This window comes from Homo sapiens, chromosome 18 (genome assembly GCF_000001405.40).
Source record: "Homo sapiens chromosome 18, GRCh38.p14 Primary Assembly".
Classification (NCBI taxonomy): Eukaryota; Metazoa; Chordata; class Mammalia; order Primates; family Hominidae; genus Homo; species Homo sapiens.
In genome coordinates, this window is record NC_000018.10 from 1,531,581 (window position 1) to 1,551,458 (window position 19,878).

Genomic DNA, 19,878 nt, shown 5'->3' on the forward strand with positions numbered 1-19,878 from the left:
TTAAATTCACTCTTTCTGCTACAACATACAGCCTTACTAGTAGATAGAAATTATCGACTAAATCTTATAAATTGTGGTCCTGTTTTCTTTCTACAAATTTTACAAGCATTATTACTGCGGCAAGAGAACAGCAGCAGCTAAGCTGGGAGCAAATAACCCAGTAGAAGCAGAGCCAAAACTTGATTGTAAAACAAGGCACATTTAAATATTTTTGGTCTAGGAACAATGAGAAAGGGCCAGCTGAGATTAGTAAGGCGATTTCATGCATAGACCCTGAGATTAGTTTTCCAGTTAACTGAGGGAATCCCACGTGTTTAAGGGCTTTTCCTAAAGTGTAAAGACTTTATAATCCTACTTAATTCATGCAGTGAAATGCCATTATGTACTGCTTTAGAATTTTCTTCTGCTAAAATGAGGCATATTTTTATTCATTTGATGGACTGTCAAAGAAATGTAGGCTATATAATTTTATAAAACCAGTGGTGGAGGGTGGGGAGTTAGGTCATTTTAAATATTTTTTTTGGTTGGTTTAAATTTTATTTAATAACTGAGTAGAACTTGTTTTGTTTTTGTTTTACAATTTGTCTTGTTATAGCATTTTCTACAACTCTTTCTCTCTTCTCTTTGAAAACTGTCCTTGTTTTTGAGTAGGAAAGCAAAGAGAAAATATTGTGCCTTTTAAATAATCCATGCAGTTCATAACTCTTCCTCTGGCCTATAAATTATTATCAGTGCTTGAAGTGAAGTTGGATTTGAAACGACTACTTTGATGTGATGTTTTGATATTTTTCTTATTAAACCAAACAAAATGAAGTAAATTATTAATCTCTCTTTTTTTCTTCTTACACAAAACTAGTCATTATTTACTCTTGTGTTTTTTACATTGCTCATCTTAAAGATCTGTATTCCCTCTTTCATCATGCCACAAACCTACTTCAGAGTCATTAGTCTACTCTTCATTAGAAAGAAACAAAATCCTTTAACATATTTTTTCAAGGGCTATAGATTGTTTGTGAAGATAAAATATCATATTCCTACTTCTAAATACCCTTGCTCATGAGAATACACCCTAAGAGACAGTGATTCCTAAAATAATCTTGAGATAAGTACAAAATCATGGGTATTCAATGCATAAAGAATAATTCATAGCTTTACACAGAATCTCTTCCTTGCTTTCTAGCTTAATTACTCTTCTTTGTTAGGCAGTCCCATTTATTCTTATTCTTCCTATTATCAATTTCATAAAAAATATTAAAAATTTCAAATTCATTGGGTTATTTCATCTTTATGACAACCATTTGTTTTTGGCACAGAAAATATTAATATAATTATCCCAGCTTGTTGACCAATAAACTGAAGCCAAAGCAACTCATCTACTTAATTTTAAATGGCTACTGTGTAGCCTTTGGTGTTGCCTCAGGTCTTCTGCGTTATCTGTTGCACTCTTTGGGAAGTGATCAACGGCAGTACCTTATCTTTTCTAATTCTGCATACCTTGCTGGGCATCAATAGGCTTCCTCCCTGAGCTCATCGTTAATGCTGGTTGTGTCTCATTGGGCTGGTTCCACCCTTACCTTGATGGTCTGGAGTGGCTCCTAGAGCCATCTATTGAGCCCCAGTGCAGCCAGGAGTCCTTGAGTTCAGTTTAGGGTCTTGTCTCTGATTTTTGATAACCTCTTCCTGCGTATTCTGTTAAGTCCCATGTTCCATTTTAGGTACATATAATTAAAATAATACAGTAAAAATCTGATCCTACACAAGAGCTGAAACTCAGGGATAAACTGTGGAATTAGAATTTCTGCAAATCCATTTTCATTATTGACATATTTAATTTTGGACCAAAACAAATCTGATGGCATCACTATATTATATATTTGATGGCATAACTATATTATATATTATATATTTGTGTTATATGTATATAACATTAAATTATATTAATAAAAACATATGTCCAGAAAAAGAATAAGCATCTTAGTATGATCAACTACTTCTAGATTAATATTAACATTAATTTGCTACTCATTAATTCATATTTTATCTGCTAGTTCTTGTGATAAAATATTCACTGATAGTTAATTTTTAAAAGATTAGATTTATGGGGCCAGGCGCGGTGGCTCACGCCTGTAATCCCAGCACTTTGGGAGGCCGAGACGGGCGGATTAGGAGGTCAGGAGATCGAGACCATCCTGACTAACACAGTCAAACCCCGTCTCTACTAAAAATACAAAAACTCATGGGTAGGAAGAATCAATATTGTGAAAATGGCCATACTGCCCAAGGTAATTTACAGATTCAATGCCATCCCCATCAAGCTACCAATGACTTTCTTCACAGAATTGGAAAAAACCACTTTAAAGTTCATATGGAACCAAAAAAGAGCCCTCATCACCAAGTCAATCCTAAGCCAAAAGAACAAAGCTGGAGGCATCACACTACCTGACTTCAAACTATACTACAAGGCTATAGTAACCAAAACAGCATGGTACTGGTACCAAAACAGAGATATAGATCAATGGAACAGAACAGAGCCCTCAGAAATAACGCCGCATATCTACAACTATCTGATCTTTGACAAACCTGAGAAAAACAAGCAATGGGGAAAGGATTCCCTATTTAATAAATGGTGCTGGGAAAACTGGCTAGCCATATGGAGAAAGCTGAAACTGGATCCCTTCCTTACACCTTATACAAAAATCAATTCAAGATGGATTAAAGACTTAAACGTTAGACCTAAAACCATGAAAACCCTAGAAGAAAACCTAGGCATTACCATTCAGGACATAGGCATGGGCAAGGACTTCATGTCTAAAACACCAAAAGCAATGGCAACAAAAGACAAAATTGACAAATGGGATCTAATTAAACTAAAGAGCTTCTGCACAGCAAAAGAAACTACCATCAGAGTGAACAGGCAACCTACAAAATGGGAGAAAATTTTCGCAACCTACTCATCTGACAAAGGGCTAATATCCAGAACCTACAATGAACTCAAACAAATTTACAAGAAAAAAACAAACAACCCCATCAAAAAGTGGGCAAAGGATATGAACAGACACTTCTCAAAAGAAGACATTTATGCAGCCAAAAAATGCATGATAAAATGCTCATCATCACTGGCCATCAGAGAAATGCAAATCAAAACCACAGTGAGATACCATCTCACACCAGTTAGAATGGCAGTCATTAAAAAGTCAGGAAACAACAGGTGCTGGAGAGGATGTGGAGAAATAGGAACACTTTGACACTGTTGGTGGGACTGTAAACTAGTTCAACCATTGTGGAAGTCAGTGTGGCGATTCCTCAGGGATCTAGAACTAGAAATGTCATTTGACCCAGCCATCCCATTACTGGGTATATACCCAAAGGACTATAAATCATGCTGCTATAAAGACACATGCACACGTATGTTTATTGCGGCACTATTCACAATAGCAAAGACTTGGAACCAACCCAAATGTCCAACAATGATAGACTGGATTAAGAAAATGTGGCACTTATACACCGTGGAATACTATGCAGCCATAAAAAATGATGAGTTCATGTCCTTTGTAGGGACATGGATGAAATTGGAAATCATCATTCTCAGTAAACTATCGCAAGGACAAAAAACCAAAAACCGCATGTTCTCACTCATAGATGGGAATTGAACAATGAGAACACATGGACACAGGAAGGGGAACATCACACTCTGGGGACTGTTGTGGGGTTGGGGGAGCGGGGAGGGATAGCATTAGGAGATATACCTAATGCTAAATGACGAGTTAATGGGTGCAGCACACCAGCATGGCACATGTATACATATGTAACTAACCTGCACGTTGTGCACATGTACCCTAAGACTTTAATAAAAAAAAAAAAAATCCCAAAATTAGCCAGGTGTGGTGGCAGGCGCCTGTAGTCCCAGCTACTGGGAAGGCTAAGGGCAGGAGAATGGTGTCAACCCGGGAGGCGGAGCTTGCAGTGAGCCAAGATCGAGCCACTGCACTCCAGCCTGGGTGACAGAGAGAGACTCTGTCTCAAAAAAAAAAAAAAAAAAAGATTAGATTTATGGGATAAAATGTCAGTGGAATAAATTGAGAGACTTCTATTCCTTACATTTATTTTTCAATTAATAAAAAACTAACAAAAACCCAAACGTTTCTGTGCAAGTCTTTTTGAGGACATGTGTTTTCATTTCTCTTAGACAAATACCTAGGTGTGGAACTGCTGGATTTTAGGGTAGTTTTTTATTTATTTGTTTGCTGTTAAACAAGAAACTGCCAAGCCTTTGTCCAAAATGGCTGTGCTATTTTCCTTACACTCCCACTAATTATATAAGAGAATTTGGTTGCATTTTCCTGATATTTAATGATGTTGAGCACCTGGTCATGTGTTTACTGGGCAACCTTCTTTTGTGAGACGTCTCCTCAAGTCTTTTGTTCATGTTTCAGTTAGACTGTTCTTTATATTTTCGAGTTTTATGAGTTCACTGTACATCTTGGATATGTCCTTTGTCAAATGTATGTTTTGCAAATATGTTCTCCTCCTCTGTAGCTTGCCAGTTGACGTTCCTAATAGTGTTTTGGATAAGTACAATTAAGTCTAAGTTTTCTCTTTTTTCATAGAGCTGTCTGTTTCTGCATCCTATTAAGAAATCTTTGCCAACCCCAGATGGCAAAGATTTTGTCCTGTGTTTTCTTCTAGAGACTTTATAGTTTTAGCTTTTATGTTTATAACCCACCTTAAAGTAATTCCCCTAGTTACCCTAGTTTGTGAATATAGTTACAGGTGTTTCTGAGTCATAGCCCAGATTTGAAACTCACTGGTTTTAAATACAAATTTAGGAACAAGTATCTTTAACCTTCCTCACTTTCTTTCTCCTACCACTTCCTCTCAGAAAGTTGTTATATTATGGAATTGGTTCATATAACCTTTGGGATCCCTCACAATATTAACAAAACCGACACCTGCTTCCTATCCCCTCAGCTTAGAGGGCAAGCCAGTATGTTTGCCAAGCATCACAAAGACCTCTGGGGTCAAGGTTAACTTTCAAGCTGACTGCATGGGCATCTATAAGTTATGATCTGAATGGGCAAGGAGCCCTTGGATCTGACATGTGTAGTGGCCTTGGTCAGTCACTGACTTATTGCGTGGATCTGATCAAGCCTCTTCCTCTCTCTGGATCTTAATTTTTCTAATGCATCAAAAGAGGGTCGTGAAACAGACCAGCTTTGAAATTCCATATTCCCTTCATACCTATGATTTTTAATATCCCACCATCAAAAATGAACATCTTTGGGTCCTGAAGGGGTCTCCATGAACTTTAAGAGTTTCATATTATGTTGGGATGGTAACATCTTAAATCTTTTTTTTTTCTTTTTTTTTTTTTTTACAACGGAGTCTTGCTCTGTCGCCCAGGCTGGAGTGCGGTGGTGCGATCTCTGCTCACTGCAAGCTCCGCCTCCCGGGTTCACGCCATTCTCCTGCCTCAGCCTCCCGAGTAGCTGGGACTGCAGGCACCCACCACCACGCCCGGCTAATTTTTTGTATTTTTAGTAGAGACGGGGTTTCACCATGTTAGCCAGGATGGTCTCGATCTCCTGACCTCGTGATCTGCCTGCCTCGGCCTCCCAAAGTGCTGGGATTACAGGCGTGAGCCACCACACCCTGCCCCTAACATCTTAAATCTTATCAGCAAACAGATAAATTGGGATTTGCTGACAAATGGCTAGGAATGAGGTCCTGTAAATAATAGAGGGTGTAAGAACTGGGATGGAAAGGGAGGCTGTGTTGTAAGGCTGAATATTCCATTGTGGGTATATAACAAATTTTCTTTATCTGTTTATTCATTGATGGACACTTAAGTGGATTCAATATCTTGGATATTGTGAATAGTGCTGCAATAAACATCAGGGCGCAAGGATCCCTTTGATATACTGATTTCTTTTACTTTGAATAGATACCAAGTAGTGGTATTGTGAGATCATGTGGTGGTTCTATTTTTAATCTTTTGAGGAATCTCTGTATTGTTTTTCACAATGGCTATACTAATTTACATTTCCACCAACAGTGTACAAGGTGTCCCTTTTCTTCACATCCTCATCAACACTTGTTATCTTTTGTCTTTTTGATAATTTGATAATAGCCATTCCAACATGTGTGAGGTGACATCTCATTGTGGTTTTAATTTGCATTTCCCTGATAGTTAGTGATGTTGAGCAGTTTGTTATATACCTGTTGGCCATTTCTAAGTCTTCTTCTTTTTTTTTTTTTTATTATACTTTAAGTCCTGGAATACACGTGCAGAACGTGCAGGTTTGTTACATAGGTATACATGTGCCATGGTGGCTTGCTGCACCCATCAACCCGTCATCTAGGTTTTAAGTTCTGCATGCATTAGGTATTTGTCCTAATGTTATCCCTCCCCTTGCCCCTACCCCCCAACAGGCCCGGGTGTGTGATGTTCCCTAAGTCTTCTTTGGAGAAATAGCTATCCAGGTTCTGGCCTGGCATTGTAGGGGCCTGGTCACTCAGTCTACAAGTGCTAACCAGGAACCTGGGCCATGAGGGCCTGACTGGCTCTGGATTTCACTGGTGTGAGCCTAGTGTTATGGTCTGAGCAAAATTGGGTGCTCACTTCCCTCCTCTTTCCTGCAAAGTAGGTATTTCTCTCTGTACTATGCTGCAAAGGTTGGAGAAGGGTTGACGTGTGTAATGTGCAACTGTCCTTCCTACCCTCTTCAGTGTGCCTTTTCTTATTTCTGTGCTATACCCAGGTGCTGTAATCTCTTACCTGGTTTCTTAGCTCTGTGAAGGTATTGTTGTACATGAATAGCTGTTCAAATTGATGTTTCTGCACGGAGAGGAGTGCTGAAAAGTCCTATTATGCCATCTTGCTGATGTCACTACTTCACCTATTTTTTGGTGGTGCAAAGAGTGGAGAGAACAGTTTTATTTTCATGAAATAATTGATAAGAGTTAAAGATGAACTAGAATATCTACATGCCACAGGTATGCAGGGGAAGAGAGGGTTTGATGTTTTAGGGTGTTATTAGGCAAGAAGGTACAGCCCAAGAGTGCACAATGGTGAGACAGAATAGTGTTGTAAACAGAATGGGATGCTTCCACAGACTGTGGGGATATTAGGTAATCAAAAAGTTAGACCATTTTTAATATGTGTGGCTGTGAAACATCTGCTGGTGAAATGTGAATTAAAGGGTAGAATTGTATTTGGGGAGGTATAATTCTTTAAATTTGATACTGATTTCAGACTGGTCATGGCTTCAGAAGTATTATATTATTCTGTTCTATTCTATTTATTATATATTTCAAGGTAATAGTGAAAGGAATAGAAATGATTCACTGCTCTGGAAATGGAACTTGGCTGGGGCATTGTGAGACTATATTCAGCTTTCTTGTGAGCAACATAGACTAGCCACTATGACAAATGAGAGTGTAAGAACATGGAGTATTATCTTTTGACTCAAGGACTGAGCACTGTGTCCATTAGTCTATAAGCAAAAAGTAGTTTGCATTAGACATAGAAAATAGAAAACACCATTTGTTATTTCTAATTGTGTTAGAACAAGAAGGTAGGAAGGTAACTTCCATGGATGCTATCAAAGTATTTCTAGAGATGTAGTTTCATGGAAGGAAATAAACTAGTCCCTAAACATAAATCAATGAAACTAATGATACTGCTTGAAAATGTCTAGGATATTGATTTAGACTTTTTATTTTTCTACTCTATATCTTATAACAAGGAAAATAAACACAAAAACAATAATCAGAGGTAATGAAGAGCTTACTAAAATAGCAGCATATCTTTTAAAAAAATAGGTGAGGGAATATTTGAAAAACTGGATTGCATGGAAAACAGCAGGCCCATATGGCATGCACAATAGGATATTAAAGAGAACCAGCTTGTGAACTTACCAATCTAAGCTGCTTCAGTCAGTAATAAATCATGGACATCTGAGTGAGAGGATCCCAGTCCATTTCATGGAGAAATAAAAATCATATAACCTACCCAAAATGAACGAAAAATCACAACGAACTTTCTCAGGGAACTATATACATAATTAAGTGTTTTCTACAAACTCATGGAAAGCTAATATATTGTAAATCTATAGGCAGAAGCACTTAAAAATAAAATCGTATAAATTTTATCATTTGCTTTCCCAAAATGAAATAGTCTGTCTGAAACTATACTTGTAGTCAGATTTGTAGCTATACAATTATAATAAAGCACTAAGATTAAGATAAGGACCTCAATGAACATAACTGGGAGAATTTAATTCAATAGATTTTTGTCAGACATCTTCAAAGTAGTTGAATATTATCTTGAAAACATTTCTTCAGTAGGTAAAGAATGGGTCAAGGATCTTGACTAATACCAATGGCAATATACTTAGTGTACTTTACTGATACGTTTACTTTATATAAAAATGTTTGTTTCACAAGATTTGATGCATATGTCATGGGAAAAATAATATAGCTAGATCTTCCTGACAACATGGTGTAGTAAATATGTTTTTTTTAATAGATGAAATTTTATTGCTCAGGGGAGATGGATTGAAACCCTCATTTCTTCCCTTTCTCCCTACAGACTTTACTCTTCTATTTATTTTGGAGTGTGAACTGTGGTTCTTGATAAATGAGTGTGTTCACTTTGCTCTGAATACTAATTTTTAACAAGAGACACGTATGGGGTGCAGGCTGGTGGTAGAGTAGGGTGGAAGGACATGTCATGTACAGACACACGCATACAAAATTATTGAGTAGAAGAAACAAAGAGATACAAATAAGATTATCTTTCTTTCATTTCCCTGATAACATTGTAGTTAACTAATAGAAGAGAAATAATGCCAACCACAAAAATCTATCAAATGCTCACCATGTTACATGGTTCTCTGTATTCCAGATACATTATTATATTTATAATCAACCCTGCAGTCTATTCCATTTGACATATAAGGACAGTGAGTTCAGAGGAATTTAGTGCTTTAGGGCAGGCCAACTCTAGCTATAAAGAACTCCAAAGTAAGCTGTGGTTTTTCCACCTTAAAATAAAGCAGATAATAGAGAGGTTCACAGGTCACTAAATAAATGCTGCACTCTCCTCTGGCTGATCAAATAGTGTGCATTTTCTTCAATAGCAGGGCAGAGGGTCAGTTTCCCCCTCTTTGGTATTTCATAGGCTTTGAGAGACTAAATTATATGCCATTAGAGATACATTTTCAACTTGAAGCTACCATATTTAACAGAGAGTGAATTACATTAATTCATAACACCAAGAGGTGCCACAGAAGATGTCTTCTCCATGAAAGGAAACCGTAAGACATAATTGAATGAGATTATGAGGAACATAGGCTTGGTTTTTTTGTTTTTTTTTTTGAGACGGAGTCTCGCTCTGTCGCCCAGGCTGGAGTGCGGTGGCGCGATCTCGGCTCACTGCAAGCTCCGCCCCCCGGGTTCACGCCATTCTCCTGCCTCAGCCTCCCGAGTAGCTGGGACTACAGGCGCCCGCCACTACGCCCGGCTAATGTCTTGTATTTTCAGTAGAGACAGGGTTTCACCGTATTAGCCAGGATGGTCAAGATCTCCTGACCTCGTGATCCGCCCGCCTCGGCCTCCCAAAGTGCTGGGATTACAGGCGTGAGCCACCGCGCCCGGCCGCTTATTATTTTTTAATTGAAACCTACATGATAACTTTCCATGAAACAAAAATCTCTACTCATCTCTCAGTGTACATTGCAAGTCTTCCACCTGTGGGTCTGTGGGGCTGTGTTAAGCTCTGTGGGGATCAAGGAAAATAGAGAGAATTTGAAATTTAAGTCCAATATATGGGGGAAAAAAAGAAGGAAGAAAAAAATAGGAAAAGCTTGTTTCTATTATGTTTTGGTTTTTCTAGGAGGAGAGGGCTTGCTTTTTATTTTATTATTTTTATTTTTTTAGTCAAAGCCTCACCCTGTTCCCTGTTGCCCAGGCTCTGGAGTGCATCACACACTCACGGCTCACTGCAGCCTTCACCTCCTGGGCTCAAGCGATCCTCCTGCCTCAGCCTCCCACAGTGCTGGAATTCCAGGCGTGAGCCACCACGCCGGACTGGAATAGAAGTTTTTGATTCAAGGTGACTAACCTGCTCTTTGCTCAGGTCTCTTTGGCCACCTCATCTTCCTCAAATGCAAGGAATTCCTCACGTATCATTCTCCCTTTCGTGCTTGCTCTCCTCTCTCCCGCTGGAGCCTCTGAGATAAACACAGACTTAAGCAAACAACAACAACACAAACATCTCCTGGGAAAGAAGCTCTTTCACTTGTTTTGTCTCACTGAAGCTAATGCTCCTGCATGCCTAGTCCAGGACATCATATGATTTTTACAAAAATAAATAACGTTAAATTCAAAGCCTGTGTGCCATCTAGTATACCACAAAAGACTGGCTAATTCATTGTTCTTACGCATTGTTTTGCATGAGTATACATTTATTTTCTCATCACTTAATTTCTCCTTTGTGATCTTCTTATTTACCATCTCCTGGATGCAGAATGACTCTTGCTTCTCTTTCCAAGTCATCTGAGTTGCAATTAGATTAGCTCCTCTTTAGCAATAAATGAGTTAAAGAAGAATTTGGCAGAATCTAGGTAGCCACAGATGACTTCATAGTCTGTGTGATTTTGGGGGGTGAAAGGGAGAATACACAGCAACAATATAGAGATTTCTACTGCTTTCTAAATTACCTTCCTTTCCTATTGAGTTAACCCAGTGTGGCAGATGCTAAAGGCTCCACTGAGGCCAATGATATATTAAGCTACAAGAGCACTGTGTCTATACTCATATCTGTATAGACACCATCACTAATAATCCTTCATAAAGACTTAGGGGTAGGTCCCTATTCTCACTTGAGTCATTACTTTTTGTTGTAGTCTTTATTATGGCTGCTTTTAGTCGTACCAAGACCACTGCAGTGATGGCTGCCCACAAGTATCACATCTGTGGGAGTTACTTGTATTGGAGCTTACAGGTTTCATATGGTGGAATTTCTCTTCTCCTCTCCTCCCCTCCCCTCCCCTCCCCTCCCCTCCCCTCCCCTCCCCTCCTCTCCTCTCCTCCTCCTTTTCTCTTCCTCTCTCTCTTTCTCTCTCTCATAACCGGGCACTGTGGCTCATGCCTGTAATCTCAGCACTTTGGGAGGCTGAGGTGGGTGGATCACCTAAGGTCAGGAGTTCGAGACCAGCCTGGCCAACAGGGGGAAACCCCATCTCTACTAAAAATACAAAAATTTCCCAGCTACTCGGGAGGTTGAGGCAAGAGAACCGCTTGAACCCAGGAGGCGGAGCCTGCAGTGAGCGGAGATAGCGCCATTGCACTCCAGGCTGGGCGACAGAGGAAACACTCTGTTTAAAAAAAAAAAAAAAGACAGGGTCTCGTTCTGTCACAGGAGCTGTAGTGCAGTGGTGCCATCATAGCTCACTGCAGCCTCAAAATCCTGGGCTTAAGCTATCCTTCCTTACACCTCAGCCTTTCCAGTCCCTGGGACTACAGACACACACCACTGTGCTTTATTTTTATATCAGTTTGAATGTTGGATCTTTAAAAAGATGAGGTAGGTACATGAGAATTAGCTTATTTTGGCCAAGGGCTATACGTAATAAACATGATAATCAACTAAATGGCTGTTAGCCAAAAATATATTTCCCTTACTTCCAGAGGATTCTAGGTCATGCTTGGCAGTGTGTCCTTCTCAAATTGGAGTTTGTATGAGTGTTTCACAGGCAGACTGAAGGAAATGAAAGAGACTCAAATTTGCCCTACCAGAGTTGTTTCCTAAACCATCCTGAAGGTTCCATTTCCTCACCTTTGGAATAGTTTATCTGATGCCCTAAGAACAGAACAGGTATTAGTCACCATCTTTGTTCAATGGCTTAAATTCTCTGTTCTTTTCTTTTAGAAATTGAAAGCCTATATTTATCAGAAAGCTGGCTCCAATGAGTGTTCTGAGGATTAGCTGGAAATATGATTTATCTTAGTGTTAGAAATGCCATTTTATTACAAAATATTAATATCACCAAATAGATAAAATACAGAGTGAAGTTAAGAATCATGCTGTATGAATTTCCCATCAAAATGTTACTGTCCTCTGAAGTGAATCAGGAGGTGCTTTAGTATTAATAAATAGAATAGAATACAAATGTCAGTCTAAAATTATACACTTCTATTTTGGATTAAATTTCTTAGGGTCCCTCAGATAAGCCATAATGATAAAGACAACAAAAAAGTGAGTTGATAGCTATTAGAAACATTTTTAGCTCCCATGTCACATTTAGCTAACAATTAAATAATATTTTTATGTTAAGAATATACAATTCAAACACTATACATGTATTATATTTTAGTCATATTTTTATTATTACACTTTGTTTTTACATGTCTATTCTTACCATAATTAAATTGAAAAATTCTAAAAGTTTACTGCTTCTGAGGAAATTAGTGGTTACTGTAAACCAGTATTGTGTGCTGGTTACCAAGTTGTTTGAGTTTGTTAAGACAGAACACCTACACACATAACAAGCTGCATGAAGCAGTTTCCTTACAGGTAGGTAACAAGGGACACAGGAGCCTAGGATTCATTGCCAGCCAGTCCAAGGCTCAGGAAACCTGCCCACGGCAGATGGAGTCTCCTCTGGGCACGTGACACTTGCACTGCAACTGAAGGACCCAGAAAAGCAACCTGCCCCGGGTTTTATATCCTGGGGCATTAAGACACTCTGGACTAAAGCACTGAAAGAAATCCTGTATCTGGGAGTGGGGCATGGGGAGAGGGTACTAGAACAGAGCCTGAGCTCTTCTAGCCAGTTTTTCCTTATCTCAGGATGTGGGATTTTTAGAATATTCTACAGTTATTTTTGAGAGCTACAAGTGAGAAATTGGGGAGAGCTGGGCCAGTCTAAGGCTACCTGGAGAACTATCCTGAAGTTACCACATTTGTGTTGAAATAATCAATGATAAAGAGTAAAAAGATAATGGTTTTGTCTGTGTCCTGTGTAATTTGTATTCAAAAGAGTTTGAGTCACATGAATACTAACATTAAATCTAATTTAGTTAAGCTTAAGAACTCATTGTTTTTATTCAAATATGAAGTTAAACTATGAACTTATAATGGAATTATTGATATGGCAATGCTGGTTATAAACATCTATTTACAATTCAATGAACTTGTATATTGAAATCAATAAGCTTCTAACTATCAAAAAATGAAATTGTCAGAGGCAATTCTACATTGTTAAGAGAGTCTTATTACTTCCCCAAATGCTGACACATGCAGTGATTTCAATTTAAGTATGTAGTTAATAGGTGAAAATATTTACCTATCTCACAAAAGATTTCAAATTTTTGTTCCATTTTAACCAATCAGCATGACATAGTGACTAAATCATTAAAACTCTAAGTCAGACTCTCATTTCAAACACAGGCTCTGCTCCTTATCAGGTCTGTGATGGTGGACAAGTTCCTTCTTCTGTCTAAGCTGTAGTTTCTCCATCTGTGACATGAGTATGCTAATTCTTACCTCATAAGATGGTGGTAATGAATAAATTGTATAATTCCTACAAAGCATATTTTACCGTGTCTGGCAAATATTAATTACTCCTTGGATCTCAGTTATTATTGCTGATTGTGGAAATCATCTCCTGTGCCCTGACCTTGAATAGTTTCTATATCCATCTAATCTGTGTGCATTCTCTTATGGTAGATTAGAGATGGCTGCAAATTCTTTGATGCTCCTTCCATTGAGAGGTGGGGATTTGTTTCTTCCATTTGAACTAGAAGTGGCCTCTGTGACTGTTTAACTGATAGAATATGACAGAAATAATGCCACATAAATTTCTGGGTTAACCTTAAGACACCTAACTACTTCAGATACTTGCTCTTGAATGACTGAGTCACCATGTGACATAACTGACTATTCTGAAGCCAACATACTCTGGGGAAGATGAAGAAACCAAGTATGGAGGTCCATGAGGAAGGGAACAAGACTACTGTCCAATATCCCATCTGTGTCCCCAGCTGACAGTGCACAGCCACTTGACCGCCATGTGATTAAGCTATTTTGGAGGTTGATTTTCCAGGCCCAGTGGACTCTCCCCAGCTGAAGATAAACCAGCTTTATTGAGCCATGCCCAGATTGCAGAATCATGAGTACAAGAAATGATTGATATTGTTCTGGAGTGGCTTGTTATGCAACAATAGGTAACTGGAACGTTTGCTAACCTCTTGAAGTTCACTCTTAAATCCCATCTCTTTGATAAGGCGTTGGCCAAATATTTTAGCACACTCTGATGCTCCCTTTTACTATATTCTCATAGTCTTTGTGATCTATACTATTCTTTTTGTTATTCACTCACAAATATACATATCATTTTTAAGATTTCCTTTATGTAAGCTATTTCCTTTAAGTATTGTGTAAGTTGTTTCCTTTGTGTAAGTATATTTAAGTATCTGTATATGTGTATATCCACATATATGTTAATATAAACACACATACACACACATGTATGTGTAAATACATTCCTTCTTTTATAACTCTGGTAACACCTAGCACATGACTTGGCCTTGGTACATATTCAAATATATCTTGAATAATTAAATTGCATATGTAATTTGCTTTGCTTTTTCTAGTAGTTCTAGTAGTTCACTCTCAATCCCTTCCTGTTTTCTACATTACATTTTTACATTAAATGGTATTTTCAGAACACAAATATGAATAAGGCACCAGCCTTCCTTAAAACCCAGGGGGTGTCTTCTCATTGATTTGAAGCTACATGGAGGCTGTTTTCCACCATTCTGAGAGGCCAGGCATGGTGTGATGCCTGCCTATCCCAGCATCCTCATCATGGACTGAGTTCTGTGTTTGTATTCTGGTTCAAGGGGCCTCTGTCAGACCCTCATGGCTGGCTGTGCCTCCTCTCACTTCAGGGCTTTTGTGTGTGTCCTCTCTTGGCTGAAGTGTTCTCTGTGCTCTGAACACCTTCTTTCTGTCTTTCATTGCCCTGAAGCTATTCAATCTTAAAGACACAAGTTATGCCTCATGGAGACTTTTCTGATTCCTCTACTGGGAAAGAATCCCTTTTTCCTGTGTCCTACCAATGATTTTTAGCTATACAGTAAATCTCATATACCATTTATGATCATACATTTTTTCCACAAGTATATTAGAATTGTAGCAAAGCTATAACAAAAGCCTCCTAATGAGTTAGGCATGGTGGACTTTCAGCCAGGAGAAAGGTTAAGGGTCACCAATTAGGAATATAACCCAGATGAGAAAATTTTAAAATAAACAAATCAATCAATTAAAAATTTTTATAAAAATAAGTCAGCAACATTTGGGAGACATGCTTGTGAGAGACTAGTTCTTAAAAGTGTCACTCAAATAAAGCTTTTGTTCAACCTTACCCATTAAATTTTAGTTGTTGATTGCAGGATCCATGGCTGAGTAACCTTTGTATAATTCACCAGCTCAGTGATATTAACTCACTGCCTTCCACATAGAAATCATATAAATATGTGAGAAGAGAAGGCTTTTAGCTATTCCATATAAGCAACAAGTCAGGTTTATATATTTGTTCTGAATTAGATAATAATCAGCCATCTTCACTTAAAAAAGATGTTTTGTGCCTTTCCCAACCTGTCTCCCCAGTTACCCTCTGCTGTAAACTTAATTCCTTATGTGACCATATTTTCTTCCTCTTTCTTTGCTTGTCATTATTCTCCCTTTGGTTCTTAAGAATCATATTCACTTAATATATCTGAACCTTTACATCTCCACCTTTCACACTTGCTTTTCAGATTGTGCCTGCCCACCTCTAATTATGCATGTATACTTTGGCTTCTGTAATCTTTTATTCTTTAAGACAATAGAAGGTTTTATTCTGTGGTCCTTCTTAAATGAATTCTAACATCACTCTCACTTTCTCTACCACTCAAGATTGGCTGGGCAGGTTTATTCTCTTTGCCAGGCTTCAATTTCATCTAATATCTTGTTTGTCTTTTGAAGCCAAGCATTGTTTTTATTCAAGTTTTCAGTAATAACAGGAACTATTTTTTTTCTTTATATCATGTACAACTCATGATACTGTGCTTTAATGCTTGAAAGCTGGTTATAAGTCTACCAAATCTAGCCTCTCTCAAATTAACCTCTGTATGTGATGTTAAAACTTAAGTAATTCTTTGCAATTGATATAATAATTTTAATCACCCACTTATGATGAGTCCATAGAAAAACAAGAGAAGGTGGAACAATCATGCCCAAGAGTATGCTACATTTTTTGAGGATCCTATATTTGAGGGATACTGTTATTGAGTGATACTTCTTTGTGGTCTGAAGATCACAGAATCCTGCATATACCACAGCCTTATAGTCTTTGGGCATGGAGTTTGCTTTATTTGCCCATCTTCTTATTAACTGTGTGTATCCATCACAGCAAGGTAATACCACATCAGTTCCCTAAAGCATTAATTTAAAATAATTCTCAGAGCCTCTTTCCAGAACCAGGATGTTTGCTTTTTCCTTTCTCACACACATTAGCCAGTGTGAGCTCTGTGAGCATTAGGTTTTAGTTTATATCTTTGAGATGAGTGAAATATCGTCATTACCAGACATGAAGGGAAAATCAGACATGAATTTTCCAAACTTCAGTGTAAACAAAGTCCTACCTGATAGGAGCCACATTTCAATTCTATGAAACTATGTCTACAACACTTCTATGAGAAAAAAGGAGAAAAAAAGGAACCGCTTTCAGAATTGAAAATAGTTACATAATTATAAATCTTACAGATGTTTATAACACAATACTATTAACTTTAGGTCAATATATTTGTCAGTTGGAATAACAATGGACAACTTTCTAGGGAAAAAAAACAACTTACCACAGCTAGCACAGTAAGAAACAGAACTAGAAATATTCCTTTGCTGACAAAGGTAATTTGAACTTGAAATTAAAACCATTCTCACAAAAGCATAGGTGGCTTCATTGGTGAGTTCTTACAAAAATTTTAGGAAGAAATAGTGTCAATCTTACACAAACTCTTACAGAGAATAGAAAAAGAGGGAACAGTTTCTGATTTGCTACAATTAATGTAGTTCAAGGTAAATCAATGGAGTTCACCTCATTAAGTGATAAAGGAGAGAAATCATTTGGTCAATCAATTGTTGCAGAAAAAAATAGTAAAATTCAACTCCCATTAATTCTTAGTTAACTGGTGTATGGTTTGGCTCTGTGTCCCCAGCCAAATCTCATGTCAAATTGTAATTCCCAGTGTTGAAGGAGGGACCTGGTGGATGGTGATTGGATCGTTGGGGCAGATTTCCCCTTGCTGTTCTCTTGATAGTGAGTGAGATCTCATGGGATCTGGTTGTTTGAAAGTGTGTAGCACTTCCTCCTTCTCCAGGAAGAAGGTACTTGCTTCCTCTTCGCCCTTCCACCATGACTGTAAGTTTCCTGAAGCCTTCCCAACTGTGCTTCCTGTACAGCCTGTGGAATTGTGAGTCAGTTAAACCTCTTTTCTTCATAAATTACCCAGCCTCGTTCTTTATAGGTCTTTCTTTATAGCAAAGCAAGAACAGACTAATACAGAAAATTGGTACTGAGCAGCAGGGCATTGCTGTGAAGATATCTGAAAATGTGGAAGTGACTTTGGAACTAAGTAACTGGCAGAGGTTGAACAGTTTGGAGGGCTCAGAAGAGGCTAGGAAGATGTGGAAAAATTTGAAACTTCCTAGAGACTTGTTGAATGGTCATGACCAAAATGGTGATAGAGATGTGAACAGTGAAGTCTAGGCTGAGGAGGTCTCAGATGGAGATGACGAACTTATTGGGAACTGGCATATGGAGATGACAAACTTATTGGGAACTGGCGTAAAGGTCACTCTTGCTATGCTTTAGCAAAGAGACTGGCAGCATTTTGCCCCTGCTCTAGAGATCTGTAGAACTTTGAACCTGAGACAAATGTTATAGGGTATCTGTCTGAAGAAATTTGTAAGCAGCAAAGCATTCAGGATGTAGCTTGGCTGCTTCTAAAAGCCAGTGCTCATTTGCATAAACAAATAAATGGCCTGAAACTCAAACTTATACTTAAAAGGGAAGCAGAACATAAAAGTTTGGGAAATTTGCAGCCTGGTCATGTGGTAGAAAAGAAAAACCCATTTGCTCAGGAGAAATTCAAACCAGGTGCAGAAATTTGCATAAGTAAGGAGGAGCTGAATGTTAATAGCCAAGACAATGGAGAAAATGTCTCCAGGGCATTCCAGAGACCTTTGTAGTAGCTCCTATCATCTCAGGCCTAGAGGCCTGGGGTAAAAATGGTTTCATGGGCCAGACCCGGGGCTCCGTTGCTCTGTGCAGTCTCAGGACATGGCATCCTGCATTACAGCATCCCCAGCTCCAGCTGTGGCCAAAAGGAGCCACAGGTCAGGCCATTGTTTCAGATAGTGAAAGCCCCAAGGCTTTGGTGGCTTACATATGGTGTTAGGCCTGTGATTGCACAGAGGGAAAGAGTTAAGGCTTGGGAGCCTTCACCTAGGTTTCAGAGGCTGTAGAGAAATGCCTTGATGTCCAGGCAGAAGTCTGTTTCAGGGGCAGAGCCCTCATGGAGAACCTCTCCTAGGGCAGTGTGGAAGGGAAATATGGGGTTGCAGCCCCCACACAGAATTCCCACTGGGGCATTGCCTAGTAGAGCTGTAAGAAGAGGGCCATGATCTTCCAGACCCCAGAATAGTAGATCCACCAATAGCTTGCACCATGCACCTGGAAAAGCTGCAGGCACTAAACACCAGCCCTTGACAGCAGCCGTGGGAGCTGAGTCCCACAGAGCTAAAGGGGCTGAGCTGCCCAACGCTCTGGGAGCCCAACCCTTGCATCAGTGTGGCCTGGATATGAGACATGGAGTCAAAGGAGATTATTTTGGAGACATAAGATTTAATGACTGCCCTGCTGGGTTTCGGACTTGGATGGGGACTTTAGCACCTTTGTTTTGGCCAATTTCTCTTTTTTGGAAGGGAATATTTACCCAATGCTTGTACCCCCTTTGTGTCTTGGAAGTAACTAACTTGTTTTTGATTTTACAGGCTTATAGGTGGAAGGGACTTACCTTGTCTCAGATAAGACTTTGGACTTGGACTTGTGAGTTAATGCTAGAATGAGTTAAGACTTGAGGGATGGTTGAGAAAGCATGATTGTATTTTACAATGTGAGAAGGACATGAGATTTGGGAGAAGCCAGGAATGGAATGATATGGTTTGGCTGTGTGTCTCCACCCAAATCTCATGTTGACTTGTAATTCCAAATGTTGGAGAAGGGGCCTGGTGGGAGGTTATTGGATCATGGGGGCAGATTTTTTCCCTTGCTGTTCTTGTGATAGTGAGGGAGTTCTCATGAGATCTGGTTGTTTGAAAGTGTGTGGCAGTTCCCCCTTTGTTCTCTCTTCCTCCTGCTCCATCATATGAAGAAGATGCTTGCTTCCCTTTTGCCCTTCTGCCATGATTGTAAGTTTTCTATGGCCTCCCCAACCATGCTTCCTGTACAGACTACAGAACTGTAAGTCAATTAAACCTCTTTTTTTTTTCATAAATTACCCAGTCATAAGTAGTTCTTTATAGCAGTGTGAGAATGGACTAACACAACTGGTAATGGATTAGGAATACCTTTTTAATTTGGTAATTTGGCATCAACAAAAATTTACAGCAAACATTGTATTTTATAAAGAAATATTGATAGTTTTGTCTCTGACTCTGTTAACAAGACAAAAAGGCCCACTAGTCCCACATATAGTCAATATTGTATTGGAGATCCTAGCCAAAATAATAAGGGAGAGACACATGCAGGAAATATAAGAATGACAAAT